The sequence below is a fragment of the Homo sapiens genome, chromosome 1 (genome assembly GCF_000001405.40).
Source record: "Homo sapiens chromosome 1, GRCh38.p14 Primary Assembly".
NCBI classification, from domain to species: domain Eukaryota; kingdom Metazoa; phylum Chordata; class Mammalia; order Primates; family Hominidae; genus Homo; species Homo sapiens.
This window is the reverse complement of record NC_000001.11, coordinates 61,132,668-61,152,707: the sequence shown is the minus strand read 5'-3', so window position 1 is coordinate 61,152,707 and position 20,040 is coordinate 61,132,668. Positions and strand designations below refer to the sequence as shown.

At 40.8% G+C, this 20,040-nt stretch overlaps 1 protein-coding gene across 4 annotated transcripts in view, besides 2 other annotated features; it reads right to left on the bottom strand.

Annotated features, from left to right (window-relative positions):
• The window catches only part of NFIA (nuclear factor I A), a 385,562-nt gene that overhangs the window by 310,081 nt on the left and 55,441 nt on the right, over positions 1–20,040 (bottom strand). The window lies entirely within an intron of this gene.
• Positions 10,977–11,121: an enhancer, noted in NCBI's record as "145 bp enhancer 286 fragment used in the MPRA reporter construct; PK_construct_3408". NCBI's record gives its function as "activates an SV40 promoter by MPRA in HepG2 cells {active_cell/tissue: HepG2}" and the evidence as "EXISTENCE:reporter gene assay evidence [ECO:0000049][PMID:23512712]".
• Positions 11,044–11,054: a transcriptional cis regulatory region, noted in NCBI's record as "NFE2L2 motif; enhancer activity is reduced when this motif is scrambled". NCBI's record gives its function as "necessary for full MPRA enhancer 286 activity {active_cell/tissue: HepG2}" and the evidence as "EXISTENCE:site-directed mutagenesis evidence [ECO:0005528][PMID:23512712]".

Here is a 20,040-nt window from a genome sequence, read left to right as displayed (position 1 = left end):
TGATAATGTTTCTGGACTTTATTTTTTATATCTTCAAAGCAACACATTCCACAGAAAGAAAAAAAAGGCCTTAGATCATGATACTCTTGGAAAGTCTTAGAGAAAACTTTAATAGCCCAGTGATAAATCTTCTAAAATGAGAATTTATAATAGAAATACTGACAGACCTTTAATTATGGCAGCACTATGGGGCTTTGTATAATAAAGCCCACATATTTTCAGCTTAGATCATTATTTATAGGATGCCTTGGAAAGGATTTTATTTACAAGTGCCTGCCTGAATCAATGAGGTAAAGTTTTACACAAGGAAAGGAAGTGCAAAGTACACTGTTTGAAAAAGCAGGGATTTACCTCCTGGGGTGCAGGAGGCCCAGGGTGCAAGGATTTCAGGCAGTGAATGATGATTTTGACTCCTCCAGTTTGTATAAAAGGTTGAAGTTCAGTCTGGCGCAGTGCAGCATTCCACAAGACCTGCTGCCTCTTTGGGCAGGCGATTAATCTCATGATCGATAGACCATATGATTAGGCACTAATAGCTGATAGGAGGAGAGAATAAACAACCATAAATTTGCTTTGTACTGAGTAATCCAAGTGTAGGCAGGGTCATTTAATGGCCCCATTGGGTCATGTTACCTAAGGGGCCATATGGAATAAAAATGGAAGATACATACATTTTTAAAGATCTTCAGTTATTATCACAGTGTTATGGAACCAGGACAGGACTCTCTGAGCAACACCATGAATTCAGTGTTCTTAAGTGAGAGATGCCAAGGTTTCCACATTCTGAGTATAGAGGGTGATTGCAGAAAGAATAATGGAAAAGTCTCATTGTTGAAATAATTCCTCTATAAGCACTATCAGCATCCGCCCTCAGTATAACATAAGTGGCCCTGGGTGGTCTAACTCATCACTCTGTGAGCCAGTGGAATCTGTGCCTAGGGGAGAAATGAAAGGGAAGCAGCACTCAGGACCCAGAATAGTACTATGTGTGTCTCTCGGTCAAAGCAGTTGCTGGACTATTTAATTTTGCCTTTGCATGCAGATCACTGCTCTGAGTTCCAGGGCTGTTTCTCAGGGTGTCATGAACTTCCAGTATTGGGAATGGTTACGCGACATAAAATCTGGGATCCAGAGGGTCATAAATCTCATTCCTTCTTTTCTCCTTTTCCCTGATTTCTTCTCCCTTTCTAAGACTCTGACCTCCTCAACCAGCCCCTTGAAAGAAAGAAATCAATCACCCGCAGACTAAAATGAAAACCTGAGCCTTCTCTGCACATTGGATCGTCTTCCCTTACCTATGATAAAATTAAGAAAAAAAAAAAAAAGCTGTATTAGCCAGGCACGGTGGTGCAAGCCTGTAGTCCCAGCTACTTGGGAGGCTGAGGAATGAAAATCACTTGAACCTGGGAGGCAGAGGTTGCAGTGAGCTGAGATCGTGCCACTGGACTCCAGCCTGGGCAACGGAGTGGAGACTGTCTCAAAAAAACAAACAAACAAACAACAACAACAAAAACTGCAAAATGTCAATTTCCTCTTATGTGTGTCCTTCTCTCCAGCCTATCCTGAGCCCAGGGAGGCAAGATTCCCTTAAGCTCTTGCTATCAATGGCCATGATAAAGGAAAGAAGACACTTCGTTAGCCTAAAAGAAACATGATAGAGAAATTAATTGGTTGATTAAAAGAAGAACATCAACTGGTCTTGCACTGCATCTTCAGTCCCATGGCATACTACACAAATCCCTCTTCTTTGAAAACTGTCTGGGAAACAAACCCCTCCAATCACCCTCTCCACTTCCGAATTGCTCCTCCCAGCCCTCATTCTCTTCACCTCCCACCTCCCTCCCCATTCTTACTAATATGGTCTTTGTTAATTTCCAAGCCTTGAGGGAGCAACTGTTCTCAACCCATCCTTCTAGTCTAACTGTTCAATACTGTTGATAGCTCTTGAGCCCACAGAAGAGTATTCGATCGGGCTCTTTGAGAAGAAAGCAGGCGCTTCAGACACCCTGGGGTTTGTTGGGGGAATTTTGTTGCTGTTCCCAGGAAGCTGAGAAATCCACTCCCCATTCAAAGACAACCATTATCGATACCCCTAAGAAGTCCAGTGTCGTAAGCAGTTGCTCTAGCCAAGTCAGATAAGAATTTTAAAATTTCCCCCCAAAATACCTTCTCAGTATATATTTATTCAAAGCATTTCTAGTTATAGAATTTCTGAGCTGGGAGACTTTTGGCCAGGTGTATCGTACCATGAAAGGATGCCCCAAAATGTCAAATCACAGGGTTACTCCAATGCCTAGCCATTTTTCTGCTAACACTTCTTAGAACAGTAAGACCAGCCCAGTCCTACTGGGGCCACCCACATCATACTAACTCCCCATCAGGAGGAGGCACTTGCCTGGGAAGAAAACAAACTATAATCCTTTGGTCCAATGTACTCAACTCACAATGGGGGGACATGCGACACATTGATCTAAAGGGACTTGGCAGAGAACACAGAGCTGAGTGGAGCAGAGCCTGGCCCCGCGAGAATAACTCACGGGTCAGTGCTCTTTCCTTCATACCAACCTGCCTTGTAACGTGTATTTTTTAAAGGTCTTGCTTAGTAACTAGTATCCATTTCTGGCCATCTCTGAAACACTCAGAACATAGGGAGGGAAGAGGCTCTCAGTTTCCTTCTTAAACCAGTCTGAATTTTCTCCAGAGGAAAAAAAGGAAAACCTTTTTGAAGACACACGATGGAACCTGTTTAGACCTAAATCAGCTGTTCTGCCCTGATCTTGGTGGTTACCTGTAAGCTTGTCCTTACTGAAACACTGAAGGGCTTATAGCCACCTTGGCTCATTGCAGTAACAGTGGTCAAAACAACTACCATTTACTGAAGATCTAATATAGACTAAGACATTTATCATTTCTCATCATCAAGCCATCCTGCAAGTTAATATTGTCCCCTCCACTCCATTTTACAAATGAAAAAACAGAGACAGGGGAACTCAGAGAAGTTAAGCTACTTGCCCAAAGTCACACAGCCCATCAGCAGTACAGACAAGATTTGAATCACACCCATCTGACACAAAGGCTAATTAGCTTTCCATTAGATCATGCTGTTTCCACACTGGCTTAGTAATTTAATACTGCCCTATAGCTCTGAGGAATTAGTTGGTACTGGTACCAATAACTGGCTCTTCTGGTTTACATTTTTGCAAACATGAAAGGCATACAGTCTCACACCATTCCTATGGATACAAGAATCTTATATCACTAAAGCAATCAAACAAGATGAGTCAGTCTTAGCAAAAGCACTAAGTATAGTCTGGGGCTAGAGCTATGAAGGCCAAAAGAAGTGTAGTAGAAAAGACAGGGAATTTTAAAAAATATATTATTGTAAAGCAAAAGGAAAAAGATGCAAACAAAACAAACTTGGTTCATTTATTTTTTTCATCCTCAGCAAATGTTAGCTGAGCTCCTACTATGCAGCAAACTTTCCTAAGTTAAATCAGAAAGGAAATGGTTCAGGCTGGGTGTGGTTGCTAAAGCCTGTAATCCCAGCATTCTGGGGGCCTAGGGTGAGAAGACTGCTTGAGGCCAGGAGTTCGAGACCAGCCTGGTCAACATAATTAGACCCATATCTCATCCAAAAAAAAAAAAAAAAAGAAAGAAAGAAAAAGAAAAGAAAGAAATTAACCAGGCATGGTGGCATGCACTTGCTACTCATGCGGCTGGGGCAGGAGGATCCCTTAAGCCCAGGAGTTCGAGGCTGTAGTGAGCTAGGATCGTGCCATTGCACTCCAGCCTGGGTGACAAATTAAGACCCTGTCTCTAATTTTGAAAAAAAGAAAAGAAAGAGAATGGTTCAATTTCCCAACTTCTTTTTGCCTGTTTACCCACTTTAGTATCAGCTGTACCAAAGGTAATTCATCAATAGTTTTCCTTCATCTTCCCATTTTACCCTGATACTGATGCTATAAATGGAAGAGAATCTGCTGCTAACTTAACTTCTGTTTCAGTTACTGTAGCATCATGTTCTGCCCATATCTAAATGGAAAGTACCAATAGAGTTTGGAAGATGTACATGCAAATGATGCAGGCACCTGAAATGATCCACATTCTCCTGAAAAGAAGCTTCAGATATGCAGCTTTCAACGGTGCCACTAGTCAGCAGCTCTCTGTTGTTACCCAAAGAGATATGTTATCATAGAGATATGAAAAACAAACCAGGCCTTCAACAAAATACCCACTATGATGCCTCCTAAAACGTCTTCTAGAAGGTGCTAAGTCATAAAGAACCAGCGGGAATTAGCCAGACAAAGGGGATAGGGGACAGGGAAGGTGGTGTGAGAGTCAGAGGGAATGAAATGTACAAAAGTCCAAAGGCCGGAAAGAATGTGGAGTATTTAACAAGCTACAAATAGAATATTATTGCTAGAAGGTGGGGAGATGAGAAGGCTACAGAGGTACGCAGGGACCAGGATTTTTAAGAGACTTTGCCACAACAACCACTCATTCATTCTCCTATTCATGTTGCAAATGCTAATGAGTACCTACTACATTAGATGCCAGGCCCTGGAGATACCAAGATGGGTTAGCAACGTCTCAGGATACCTGTACCACAACTACTCAACAATGCACTGTACCTTAAACAGCTAGTTAATGTTGAGTGTATAATGTAAACTGGAATACAAGAAAACACCCCTTGCTTCTACTAATCGACCTACTAAATTAAACTATTCACACCTGGAGGGAAAAGACTCACTTGCATTGGTGTACAAAGAACATTAGCCAACCCCCTAGGATAATGTTGGACTTCTGCCCACTCGTCAATATTAATTGCAATATATATAGATGCAACCCTGTGTTCTCCCATTTCACCAATTTCAGCCCTCACACCAAGCTACTTTTCTTAATCCAACCGAAGTTTCAGGGCACACACTTCAGTGCAGCTGGGACTATAAAAATTCACATGGTATCATTAAGCACTACTAGGTGAAAAAAAACAAATGAAAATTACATGCTTTCCAACAACACAGACCAAGGTCTATTTTCAAAGGGAAAAAAAAACTGCCTGAATGCTGTTAAAAAGAGGCAAAATGATTTTCCAACAATGACCGTATTTTTCCACATAGTAAGATTCTAATTTAAAATTTTTAAATAAAAATGTCTCAATACCAGTGACTTGATTCCGTTACAGTAACTCAAAGTTATTAAGCTACAGAGTATCTTCTTTGGTGACTAAAACTGATTTTAAGAATTTAAAGATTCAGGTCAGGCGCAGTGGCTCACACCTGTAATCCTAGCACTTCGGGAGGCCGAGGCGGGCAGATCACTTGAGGTCAGGAGTTTGAGACCAACCTGGCCAACGTGGTGAAACCTCGTCTCTACTAAAAATACAAAAATTAGCCAGGCATGGTGGTGCCCACCTGTAATTCCAGCTACTCAGGAGGCTGAGGCACGAGAATTGCTTGAACTCAGGAGGCGGAGGTTGCAGTGAACCAAGATTGCACCAATGGATGCCAGCCTGGGCAACAGAGCAAGACGCCATCTCAAAAAAAAAAAAAGATTTAAAGAATCAGGCATTCACCTTGATTTCCATCACTTCCAACTATGCAGAATCTACCTGGTTTATGGTAGATTAACAGCAACACAGTGGGAAGAATGGTGCAGAGCTTCAGAATTATATTCAACTGAAAAGAGCCATCCGTAAGATTCACTAATCCACAGCTCTGTCAGGTGTCCTAACAATGTAATATACAACTTAGGGAAGCCATGTGATACCAGTCCTTCCTGAACCCAACCTCATCACACCCTACTTTCAGCTTCTGGTAAATATCTTTTTAAGTGAAATTAAGTTAAACACACATAAAACTATTTAAAAAAAAAACTATGAAAGATGAGAATCCATTCATTGATACACAGACTTTACACACGTCTTCTGTGTGGTCAGCAGAAGTAGTCCCTTTCTGGAGAAAGCACACCATGTGGGGGTGGAGGGTATGGGGACAGTGGGCAACAAGTAAATCCACACAATTACAACAGGAAAGCTTTGATCATGGAGTCACTTACACAGAGCGTGACACAGAATCACAAACACAGAGTACTATACAAGCCCAGGAAAATTCAGGAAGGCTCCTTGGAGGAGGGGTTTTTGAGCCAAGTCTTGTGGAACAGAGAGCAATTATTAAGAAAATTTTAGGTAGTTGTGCACATATAATTAGGCTCTGCCAAGTTAGCAACATTTGCATTTTAGAGCGTTTTCTCCTGGGTTGGGTTTCATAGAATGGGAAAGACTGCTCAATAAAACCTGCTCCTTAGCAGCTCAGCCCAGGGACACTGGAATTTCTCACAAGGTATGATCGGCCGAACAATGACCAACCACCAAGATGTCTATATCCTAATGTCCAGAATGCATGAATACAACAAAAGGGACTCTGCAGCTGTGATCAAGTTGAAGATCTTGAGGTAGACAGATTACCCTGGATTATTCAGGCAGGCCCAATGATGCAACTGGAAGGCTCCTTAAGTGGGAGGCAGGAGGGTCAAAGGTCCAGGAGAAGGAAGCGGAGCTCAAATGCAGTGATGCAGTGAAGAGCCAGCCTCTAGATGCTGGAAGGCCCAAGGAACAGGTTCTCCCCTGGAGCCTACAGAAGGAACCAGTCCTCGGAACACCTTCATTTCAGCCCAGTAACACTGGATTTGAGACTCCCCACCTCCAGACCTATCAGGGAATAGATCTGTGTTACTGTAAACCATTAAGTTCATGTTGATTTTTTACAGCAGCAATAGGAAACTAAAACACAGGACTTGTAGTCATACAAAGAAGAGTTGAATTAAATCGGCAGTGACTTGACCCCACAAACCCAGGGCACCAGGACATGTCAGAGAAGAGAGAAAATGTGACAGCGTTCATTAATGAAGAGTTAAACCTCACCAATAAAATTTAAAGCAGAAGAACGCCAAATGGTTTGACTGGATTATATCACTGAGAATCAGCAATCATCTACAGTGCAGGAAATTAACATGTGAGTGCCCATGATGCACCCAACACCACCCTAGGCTCAACACCTGCATATAACGCATTACTCCAGAGACACCTACACACATGCCCATGTGTGAAAAAGAAAGTAACTAAGTATATACCAAGAGGGCAGAGACTTTTGTCCCATTCATTCACTGCTATATCTTTAGCACCTAGGACGATGCTTGGCACATAGTAGATACTCAATTAATACTTAGTGAATTAATGAACATCTGGAGATAAACCTTGATAATCTATTGGTGAATAACATCTAAGTCATCCAGTAGATAATGTTTCTTCTGAAAGGTTATGTGACCAACCAGACCCTACAGATTTTGAGAAAACATCCTCCTCATAATTGCACTTTGTTTTAGCCATGAAGTCCAATATGCAATAGAAATAGAAAAACAAAAATTTCAGAAAGAATACCAGTGAAATCAGGTTATACGGCAGTATGTTAGCTTCGTGTTCCTACTGTGCTTAAGGGAAGCATTAATTTCCTCAATAATTTTTCTCCTTGGCTTAGTGCTGAAATGGCACAAAATAGGTGGAGGTCTGATTCTGATTTACTATTAATGCCACAAGCATTTCAAGAATAAAATATCTACAAGCAGATTTGGAAGCCCCTTAATTAAATAAAATTTTAGAGGCACTTGAAATATTCCAAAATTAAGAGGTAAAGGGGAAGGCAATGTCATACTCTGACTGATGAGGATGAAGTAAAAGCAGTGGCTAAACTGAGGCAGGTCACACATTTCCAAGAGGACTCTGTGTCAGGTGCGCCTTGATGCTGAGTCCCATTATTCTTTTTTCTTCTGCTAAAAATGGACCCAGGTTGGAATTAAGTAGCTGCAGACCTTGAGCTAATGGCTAATACAAAGGAAAATAAACATCTACCCATTCTTTCAAAGACTTGTTCTCTGAGCATGTACCCTGTGCCAGGCCAGGTGCTGGATCCTGGAGAGAGAAAAGCAATTGTTACTAGTTACTGGACATTTTCTTTGTACCAAGTAGCCATGCTACAAATGGAGGTATGGTCCTATTACTGTCAACCTCATTTGCACAATGAAGAAACTAAGGCTTAGAGAGTTTTCCTAACTCTCCCAAGTTCTTGTGGCTGTGCTTGGCAAAGTAAGAATCTGAATTCAGGTACATGTAACTCCAGGGCCCACATCCTTAGGTACAAATGTCCAAGTGCCTCTGCCCCATAGAGGCCCAGCATCTGAGCTTTGCCAATCACTAAATGCCGTTATAAGGTAAGACCCCAACACTCACATGTACACACACACGGTAGTCTGGGAATGAATCAGGAGACAAAGTTCTCCAGAGAGCTATCTGCCATAGGAACACAAATTGTTTAAAATCTTCTAGAATACTGGTTCTCACACTTTCACATACATCATAATCATCTACAGGGCTTGTTTAAAATCAGGCCCCACCCCTAGAGCTTCTCACTGAGTAAGTCGGGGGTGGGGACCAACATTTGCACTGCTAACAAGTCCCCATGTTATGCTAATGCCACTGATCCAGGAACTACACTTTTGAGAACCACTGATCTATTAATCTGCAACATCACCTCTGTCAGAGCAAGGATTCTTTTTTGTTCACTGTATCTAGAACAATCTACTTGGCACATAATAGGTATTCAGAAAATATTTGCTGAATGAATCAATCTGCTTTGTATTTGAAAAACAGATAACCGGATTTATTAGAATTGTGTGTAAACTAAGTAGATTCTTACTGTGGCCTAGGAAAACATTTCATGATTAAGGGCTTAAGCACCTTAAAGAATACTGTGGCATATCCTTTGGCCTCTCAGAGGCCTTATGTCAACGTATGGGTACTGTTAACACCACCTTTCTCAACCTCGGTGGTATGGCATATTGGAAGGACCATGGAATCAGAGCTTACCCTGCACTTGCTGAATATAGACTCGATATAGCTACTCTATATGGCCAGGTGTCCTGGGATAGGTTCCAAACCTAGTGGATCAGAAATAACATATGAAGGCAAGGCACAGTGGCTCATGCCTGTAATCCTAGCACTTTGGGAGGCCAAGGTGGGCAGATCACTTGAGTCCAGAAGTTCTAGACCAGCCTGGGCAACATGGTGAAACCCCATCTGTACAAAAAAATACAAAAATTAACCAGGTGTGGTGGCAGACACCTGTAGCCCCAGTTACCTGGGAGGCTGAGGTGGGAGGACTGCTTGAACCTGGGGGTCAGAGGTTGCAATGAGCTGAGACTGCACCACTATACTCCAGCCTGGGTGACAGAGTGGGAGGGACCCTGTCTTTAAAAAAACAAAAAGCAGAATGACATATGAAGTGTTCAGCTACATGTCTAGTGAGTAAGAAGTTCTAAGTGGTAGCTATGATTAACTTAATCACAAACATACGTTTGTCAAGGTCATCAGAGAAATCTTGTTCTTCAGCAAACAGTCATTCACTTAAATAATATTCAACAAATATTTACTGAGCATGCCACTGACTGTGGGGCACATGTGGTTCTCTGATGCCACGCTGACTAATAGGTTAAAAACAAAAATCTCCATCCTAAATTTCTTGCCACCCCAAAAAGCTTGTTCTTCTAAAAACCTTTTGAGGAAAAGCCCAAAAGAGCATTCTGGAAGAGCTTAGGGACAAGAATCAACAAGAGTTATGTAAACAGGTGAAGCCAGGTGTTCCTCCTCTCTGAGGAGACACGAAGAGAGTTGAGTCAACAATCCTACTCGCTCTTGGGCCAAGCAGTCGCCACACAAGCGGTTCTCCTCGCCAGGGTGAGTGCATCAGAAGAGAGGCTGCACTGTTCAGGAGCCACAGCAAGGAGGGTCCATCCCCGGCTCTCTCTTAAGTTCTTGGCACAGGGGCAGGCGCTTTCCATGTGCCCTAAGAGCCTGTGTCTGTGTCTTCCTGTCTCCTTACCGGAAAAACTAAAGGCAACACATCTTGTAAAGTGCCCCTCCCTCCCGAAAACACTTCAGTGAAAGTTAGTATCTACTGTGTATATATTTGCATCAAGTTATACCGTTAAGAAAACTAAAATTACGAGTAAAGGAATTAGAGAGCAGAAAGTAACCTTTACAATTTCATAATCCTGTGTTCATTCATAATGTAAAAGACTTAGAAAGGTACCCATTTGGACTCTTGGGAATAGGAAAATCCCAAAACCATAGTTTACTATTTTCAAAGGAGTTTCAATATGGGCAAAAATCAAGAATACTGTTCTTCAGGCTAAGTTTATATCCTGAAATATGCTTCTTGTAAGAAATAATTTTAAAATGTGGAATCTAAAATTAAGCAAAAATAACATACAGTATGTTCAGCTTTGAAATTTGCCGGGACTCAGCCAAGTTTACCATAAACAGAAGGCAGAATTGTCTATTTTTAACTTTACAGCCCTTGGGTGATTAAAATTTTGAGCCATAATAAACAACTTTTTTCTTCTTTGCAACATAATTTCTCATTTGAAATTGCAGTCTTTTTAGTTGTTTAGGAGATATGGATTGAGCACTTCATGTTTTTAAATTCTTTCTTAAATGGAAATTTCTTGCAGAGACTAAATGCATGCATTAGCATGCCAAAAGCACAATTTTTTTTTTTTAAGGAAAGAAAAGGAAAAAAAACTCACTAAGGCCCAAAACTGAATTGCCTTCTCTTCTTTCTATTTTAACTGTTTACCAATTAGCACCTTTGGCCAGCTGCATTTTAGGAGAACATAGTAACAGATCCGCCATTCTGTTCCTGTAAGTAGAATGGCCGCAAACACCTCACCATCACGGGGGCAGATTATTGGGCAATTTGGCATGTTTGCATACCTATTATGTCAGCAGAAACTGTATCTTCCCACCAGGAAAGACAGTTGCATATGCAATAAACCAATAGCCTTTGACATGTCAGTTAATTACATCAGTTAGCCACTATCTCCTGAGCATGATCGCTGTGTTAATGAAACTATTTTGGTGTGGAAATGAAACAGGTCAAGACAAGTAGATCAGGAAATAGAAGGGATTTAGGGTCATATAGAAAGTCAATGTGCTGAGTCACACAGAACTTAACCTTGGCCTTCAGAAAGGATATAAAATTTTTCCCTCTGCTGTGAGTAATGTTAGTATTCCTTTTTCTTGGCATCACTTCGTGCTAAATAGCTCAAAACTCTTTAGAAATTATCAAGTTTAACAGTATTGCCTCCCCTTCAAGGGCTGTTAACAATCGAGTTATTGGAGATAAACCAAAGACCAGTATTATAGGCGCTGACTTTAAAAGACATGGTTTTTTTTCCCCCTGAGTAAAGGGGACCAGTCAAAGATGATGCCCGGTTTCTGGTTTGGACGACAGGGTTAAGAATGGTGACAGCTACTTGTTTTGAAACAAGATGAGCAGATGTATTGGAAAAACAGATCAGATATTGCAAGGAGATGTTAACTTGGGTTTCTGTTGTTTTTTTCATGCTGAGCAGGGGTTTGAGGCTCTAGAGAAGGACTTAACTCCTTCTTCGATCTTGTAGCACATCAGAGACTATCCCACCCCTACTTTCACCAGACACTTAAATATTTAAGCTTGTTACTGAGGTCATTCTAAGAAATCTCTTCTTCAATTTTACAGACATGCCTTCTTCAACTGCCCGTCACATAATATGATTTCCCAATTCATTGGCATCGAGTCTCCATTCTGTTGGCGTTCCTCTTAGCATTCTGTGCCCAAAACTGGGCAAAAAAAAAAAAAAAAAAAAAAACCCAGCTGTGGTTAGACCACAGCCCAACTACAGCACCAGCTTTTTGAATGGCAATGTCACACTGCTGGCCCCTGTTAATCTTGTGGTCACCATACACTCTTGGGTTAGCTGTCAAATTAGGGTTTCTCCACCCTGCTTTTGTATAATGAAGTTTCTAATCCTAAATGCAGGATGCCCCATTCTGAGCCTGTTTGTATTTAACAGAAAATAGGGATTTTCGTCCCATTTTTATCTTACCAATTCACTCCCCAACTGTGCCAGAATGCCCAGAGGTAATAGCCTTTTGGAAGGAGCTTTCCCATGCTACATTCCAGCAGGGTAAAACAATCTGAAAATGTTCTTGCCCCTTTTATCACTGAGTTCTCCATATCCCAGGCTATTTTATAAATAGAATTTTTCCCTACAGAAAATATGTAAAGCCATTGCGAAGAGAAAACTTTTCTACACATAGAAAACATGATAATTTCTCATTAGTTTTGGAACAATACAGGTCTACTCTAAGTTGTTTCTTATTCTGGAGTACAAAATTTGCATTTTATAATGTAAATTGGGACACTGTATACTAGCTTTCTCCTACCCATTGCCTCCCCCCGCCCCCGCCCGCCAAAAAAAAAAAAAATACAGCCAGATATTTACCAACATCCTGGAGGCAGTAAACAATTTCGGTTTTTCTGCAGGCAGTAGCATGGAATGTTGATTGCATTTACTTAGCTATCAGTATGTAACAAGCTGTAGAGCCTTCAGGCCAGGGGTACAGAAAAGTGTAAAGGAAGGAGCTATGTTAAAACAAAATGTATATGGGCCAATTTTCAGTACTTATCTCAGCCTTGCAGCCCTACTGCCTGCCTGTCTCAGGGTCATACAAGGATTTAGAGTTTAGGGGGTGAGTGGTCTCATGGCATTTAACTCTTTGGATATTCCTCTCATCATTTATTGGGTATCATTCGAGTTTGGTGGAGCCCAATGTCTGGATTTCTACCAGGTCATGCATCTGCAGGAAGAGCTATTCTTCCACTGAGTTTTCAAAACATCCTGCTAATTTGACCCATTAGCAGATACCAACTTTTTTTTTTTTTTTTTTTTTTTTGGTAAATTCCCTAAGTATAGAAAACAATGTTATACCTCCGTGGGAGATGGCAGGAAAAATATGCTTAGCCTGATGCTTATCAACTTTAAAACTTAATAGTTCAGCTCATGACATAGTCTTTTAAAGAAGAATGGGAATACATCTGTCGGGGTGTAATTTAGGTAGCAGTGCCTGAAGGCAGGAGGAAAGACAAGATCACTTCCCAATAACTGTACATGTTCATGAACAATGCCACCACAGCAGGCACCAGTGACTCAGAATCGAGACAAGAGAGAATATTATGAAATCTCATAGTTAGGAAATGCTGATCTGTATCAGCTACTAACTCCCCAGACTAGCTTTCGGCAAAGTTACCTTCTTTCTCTACTTTCTGATCCGCAAAATAGATGCCCAGAAATCCCTCGGGTGAAAGATGATCTCTTTGAATAGCACCAACCTGGATTAAGAGTCGGCTACAGGCCCATTTGCTCGGCTGCACCAGCAAGCTGCACGGAGCCCCTCAGCAAAGCCTGCCCGGACCAGTAGCCTAAGATACTTGTACCTCAGTTACCTAATAATGGGATCTACATGGGGAGTTCCGGACTATCCTCTGCATGTTTTTTCCTCCACTTTTATCCTCAGAGTAACCAAATGTGTTAAGAATTATTTCTGTTTTACAGATTAAGAAATCAAGCCCAGAGAGTTTTGTTCTTTTGTTTTGTTTGAGACAGTCTTGCTCTGTTGCCCAGGCTGGAGTGCAGTGACGTGATCTTAGCTCACTGCAACCTCCGCCTCCCGGGTTCAAGCAGTTCTTGTGCTTCAGTCTCCCAAGTAGCTGGGATTACAGGCACCCAGTTAATTTTTGTATTTTTAGCAGAGATGAGGTTTCACCATGTTGGCCAGGCTGGTCTCGATCTCCTGGCTTCAAGTGATCTGCCTACCTCGGCCTCCCAAAGTGCTGGGGTTACAGGCATGAGCCACTGCGCCCAGCCCCAGTGAATTTAAAATGACTAATTCTAGCCAGGCACGGTGGCTCACACCCGTAATAGTAGCACTTTGGGAGGCCGAGGTGGGCGGACGACTTGAGGCCAGGAGTTCGAGACCAGCATGGCCAACATGGTGAAACCATGTCTCTACTAAAGATACAAAAAATTAGTCTGAGTGCAGTAGCACATGCCTGTAATCCCAGCTACTTGGGAGGCTGAGGAGGGAGATTTCTGGAACCCAGGAAGCGGAGGTTGCAGTGAGCTGAGATTGTACCACCGCACTCCAGCCTGGGAAACAGAGTAAGATCTTGTCTCAATAATAAATAAATAAATAAATAAATAAATAAACAAACAAACAAATAAAATGACTAATTCTTTATCAGAAAGTGAGAAACCAGGATTTACCACAAATCTGTCCGGCAACAAAGATTCTTTCTACCTCTAAGGGTGGTGGGGTCAAAGATTCTTTCTACCTCTAAGGGTGGTGGGGTAAAACCACTGTATTTTGAAAATAACTTTGGCCAGAGCAGTGGCTCATGCCTGTAATTCCAATACTTTGGGAAGCTAAGGCAGGAGCATCACTTGAGTCTGGTGGTTTGCAACCAGCCTGGGCAACATGGTGAGACCCTATCTTTACAAAAAATACAAAAATTAGCCCTACGTGGTGGCGTGTGCCTGTAGTCCCAGCTACCTAGGAGGCTGAGGTGGGAGGATCAATTGAGCCTGGGAGGTCAAGGCTGCAGCGAGCCATTATCTCACCAATGTACTCCAGCATGGGTGACAGAGAAAGACCATGTCTCAAAAACAAAAAAGAAAAAAGGAAAGAAAATATTTTTTGTTTTACTAAGAAATTGGAAAAAAATACTCTTGCTCTTGACTTCTCTGAAGGGAAAAGTTACCATAATCACTTTTCTCTTCACTCCATCTAATTTGGCCTCCTTCAATAGAAAAAAAAAAAAAGAGGTGGGAGAGAGAGAGAGAGAGAAAGAAAATGTGCTAACATTAAGAATAGACAGTGTTTAATTTTTACATGCTAATTAATGCATAAACAACATCTATCACAACTGGAAAAGATTTCACAGCTTCCATATTTCTTCTTCCAAACAAGCAAGAGGATCATAATCAACCTTGGCAAATCTCTGCTAAAAGCTAGGCTTAATACTATGGGCAATGAAAACACCTACGCCTGAGGTAGAGAGATTTTAAAGCAGAGGTCTTTAGTGCAGGTTGCCTACCTGGAATCACTAGAGGAGCTTTAAAAAATGCTAACGCCCAGATCCCACTCCAGGTGATTCTAAATGGGCAGCCAAGGTTGAGAACCAGAGTCTGAAAGCAATGGAATGAGGGTTAAAAAAATAACACAAAATAGTTTTATTTAGAACTCACCCAAGGATGAAAAGAGCCAGAAGGGAGAGAGATTACATATCCCCGTAATTTATATGACAAATTTGATCTTACAAGTTATGAACATACCTGCACTAGTTTGCCATCCAACCACCCCCAAGAACTAGGCCAACACTGAGTTCCAGTCCTGACTCTTCTATGCTAAAATGCAATTCACGTAGCCTTTCTGAATCTCTTTTTTCCTTATCTGCAAAATTAGGTCAGTAATAACTACCTTGTGGAGTTGTTATCAATATTAAATGAGATGGTAAGGTATACAGGATGTTTGGCATGCAGCACTTAACAAATGTTTCAACCTACTCTCTCCATTTGGCTACTGTGGGCTTCAAATAATTTGCTTCTTATGTTTGAGTCACCTTTTCTTCCAAAAGCTATAAGTTTCTGTCCGCTAGCATTTTCCCTTAAACTTATCTTGATCCATAAGATTACGCACACAATATTTACATTCATAATCCAATTCTCACATATTTATAGGACAGTTTGCTTGAAACCACTCTTAACTCAGTGGAAGTTCCTTCTAAATATGGGGTACCTATTTCTGAACACCTATTATGTGCCAGGCATTGTACCAAGTGTTCTATACTTACTATTTTAATTTTCTAAAATTCTTATAAAGCCTCTTCAGGAATAGAATTATTTATCTCATTTTATAGATGATGAAATTGGATTTCACAAAGGTGAAGTAATGTGCACCGAAAAAACCCCCCCAAACAAAAAAACTAGTAGGGGAAGTTGCTAGAATTTGAACCCAGGTCTGCCAAAACTTCCAAGTCAGCCCATAATTGTGTCTCCCAGCATATAAAGATCCATAAAATGCTTTGTGCATAGGTGTTAACATGTCAAATTCTGGAAGATTAATAAGTATAGCCTTTATTTTTATATTTAGAACAACATAATAAAATTAATTTCTAAATCAATATTGAAATTCATCCAGTTTCCATGTTTCGCAATTGGTTTTAATTTGCCTCTCATAGGCGTTAGAAAGGCTCCACAGCACCTCCCCCAGCCTTTTTATACTACTCAAGCTTTTTATTAGCCCTAATGTTGATTGCCTTCCCAGGGCATCTACTAGTTTGCGTATAATTTGTCTAATTAAATTTAAAGAAGAGATGTTTCAGGGAGCACCATTTCATCATTTCTTCTTACACTCCATGCTGTGGACTTTAATGAGGACCTAAACCCCATCTTAACTCAGCCTTAGTTTCAGCACAGATGAACTATGCTTGTTAAGACAGTCTTCAGTTGTCAGGAAAAATAGCTTTATTAAGGTCACGGAATGCAGAGAGTTTGATTAAAGCTAATCAAGGAAGAAAGCCAGGCTGTGACACGGTGAATCCAACCTCAGTACAACATGTTTTAACATAACTTAACCTAGCCTATCTGTTAAATGCAGACATAAGTAAGATCAGGTTTCCGAAAAGAATGCATGGACAAATGCAGACATATTACATGATGTAGTATATCTCGTGAGTTCAACTTAAACAATGCTTTCAATAAGCAACATATATTTTAAGCTACATGTATGCGAGCGTAAGCGGAGGGTTCTGATTTTTTTCAATAGCCCTTGCTACTTAAAAAAAGCTGGGGTAGGGGAGACTACATATATTCTTTCAGATTTAAAATGCGTGCTCTATGGATATGTCCAGACAAGGATAAGGATGGCACATAGACGAAACTGTCTTATTAACCTGAAAGTTGGTTTCCTGGTTCAGTAAACCTGGATGACTGTCGTTAGCAAATGTAATGCTAAGGTGGTCAACACTAACAATATTTTGGAAAGTTCTCCTAAGGTGAGGCCTATAATATTGATTTAGGTTTAAGAAAATTCAAATCCCAGCACTTTGTGAGGCTGAGGCAGGAGGACAGCTTGAGCCCAGTAGTTTGAGACCAGCCCACACAACACAGGGAGACCCTGTGTCTACAAATAATTTTTAAAAATTATCCAGGTGTGATGGCACATGCCAGTAGTCCCAGCTACTTGAGAGGCTGACATGGGAGGATTGCTTGAGCTCAAGTTTCAGGCTGCAGTGAGCCATGACTGCGCCACTGCACTCCAGCCTGTGCAACAGAGCAAGACCCTGTCTCAAAAAAGAAAAAAGAAAGTTCAACAATCAACAGTTAGGTAACAAGAAGGCATGATAAAAATTTAGGAACCTAAAGATGTAGGTTACAGTCTTGACGCTAAAGAACCCAGTAGCACGACCTTGCAAAAGATCCTTGGTCTGGGCTACCTGGGCCTCAGTTCTCTTAAAAGCCAAATCAAAGTAGCTGTATTAAATGATCTCTTAAATCTAAAGTTTCCATGTTATTAAAGTTGATTTCCAAATCTAAAGTCTTACAATGCTTTTAAAGTCTGCTGCAGCCTATACACAGTTTTCTTCCTAATTTAAAGCAATGTGTTAATATAAAGAACCTCCATATTATTTGTTTCTTAGATTTAAGAATTCTGATAGAAAAAATAAATGTGGGAAAAGAATGGGTGTAAAGCCTCGAGTTGTTCCAAAAATAAAAAGTAATTGTCCTAATGACGCCATCTTTTCTCTTTGTCAATACCATTCTATTTTCTTTTCAGTTGCTATCTTCTTCTCTTCCAGATGTGCAACTCTGGGACATATTATTATTACAACACATAAGCATATGCATATATACACTTGTTTAAAAAAATTTGTTTTTATTTATGATAATAGAGACAGGGTCTCCCTATGTTGCCCAGGCCTGTCTTGAACTCCTGGACTCAAACAATCCTCCCACCTCAGCCTTTCGATGTGCTGGGATTACAAGCATCAGTAACCTCATCCAGCCTAAAAAGTAAATTATAGCTAATTCTACGACACAGACTTTAGTTTACTATGTTAAAATGCATGATTATCAATCCACCATAATAACAACTAATAAATACTTCAACTTAGTCATCAATCTTAAGAGTGGTCATAACTAAAAGACTCTAAGTCATATGTTATAGCCTGTATAGTTCAAACAGGTAAGAAAGTTCATGAGACATGTAAGCAAGATTTCTGAGTCCCACAGAGTAACATGGACATGAGAAAACAGCAGACCCCGCTTTCCACTACAGCCTGACTCACCACCTTTTACTGATTTACTGGAGGTAATGGAATACAGAGGCTTAGTAAGAACAGAGGAGAGCTGTGCATAATGGGATTTAAATAATCTGATTTTCCTAAGAAAAGAAATTGAGAAGCAAAGAGATAAAGGATTTTCTGTACACACACACACACACACACACACACACACACACACACACACTCACACACACAGTCTGTAAAGCACCCTGTAGTTTCCAAAGCATTTTTGTATCCCTCAGATATCATTTAATCATCAAAAAAACCCACAAAAGGCAAGGAGAGCAGATACTATTATTCCTCTTTTTGTTTTTTGTTTTTGAGACAGAGTCTTGCACCGTCACCCAGGCTGGAGTGCTCACTGTAACCTCTGCCTCCTGGATTCAAGCGATTCTCCTGCCTCAGCCTCCTGAGTAGCTGGGATTACAGGCATGCACCACCACGCCCGGCTAATTTTTGTATTTTTAGTTAGAGAGATGGGGTTTCACCATGTTGGCCAGGCTGGTCTGGATCCACCCCCTCAGCCTCCCAAAGTGCTAGGATTACAGGTGTGAGCCACCGCACCCAGCCCCTATTATTCCTTTAAGAGACAGGGTCTCACTATGTTGCCCAGGCTGGAGTGCAGTGGCTATTCACAGGCACAATCGTAGCCCACTACAGCCTCAAACTCCTGGGCTCAAGTCATCCTTCCACCACAGACTCCTGAATAGCTGGGCTAGTCCCAGTTTTTTATAAAAAACAGAGGAGCAAAGAAGTTATGTGATTTCAGCAACAATATATTCTTGATTAATGGCAGTGATGGAACCAGACTCCAAGTTTTCTGAATTCTAGTCTAATGGTACCCCCACTAGGCAATGCTGTCAATTTACATTCATTTTGTTCACTCAACAAATATTTACTGAGTACCAGTTGTATGTCAGGCACTGTTCTAGACACTGGGAAAACAAAGAGTGAACAAGACTAGTAAGTTCCCTTCCTCATAAAACATTCTAGTGTACATATGCATGTATTTATAATAACTATAGTTTAATATATATGGCTTTTCATACACTTTTCTATACCAGCCAGTTTATGAGACTCATTAAAAATTAAGACCACATATAAATATTTATTATTTTTTAAGAACTGCATTCATTAGGTCAACAGAGAAAAAAAAAAACTCCAGCCACTCCCGCCTCCCTTCCTTCCTCATTCCTCCACACAGCTAGCCTTTTAAAACAATCTAAGTAAACAGCAAAGTAACATCTATTTGAGTTACACATTGGTTCACATGCTGAGAAGAAGAAAAAAAAATGCCTATAAAAGTCTTTAGAAAAAGGAGAGGTTCAAAATTATGGAGAGGGCTTTTTTACAGGATCGTTTTAAGCACACACAGGATCTTAAAGAATGCACATGGACATCTTGTTTGGAAAAAGTTTATTCTTTTTTCCTTCGTCTTTTTAATCTACACAAAGCACAGTCTTAAAAAGCCTGGGTGGGGGGGGCAGTGTCTGCTCCCCATCTCTAGGTCTGTTGCTGAATGAAAGATCGACAGGAAATTAACGCAGTGGTAGGGAGTTGCTTGCCAAGAGTGAACTCTGAAACAAAAGACCCACTATTGTGTAAGAAAATCTGACATCTATACCCTCAGCCATGTTCTAAACTTCGGTAATCCTTTAGTATGATCTATGATTTGTTATAAGTTTTTAACATGTATATCTAAAGTGTTGTGTTACTCCTCATCTTCCAACTCCTCCTGAAAAAGAAACAGATTTTAGTTTCT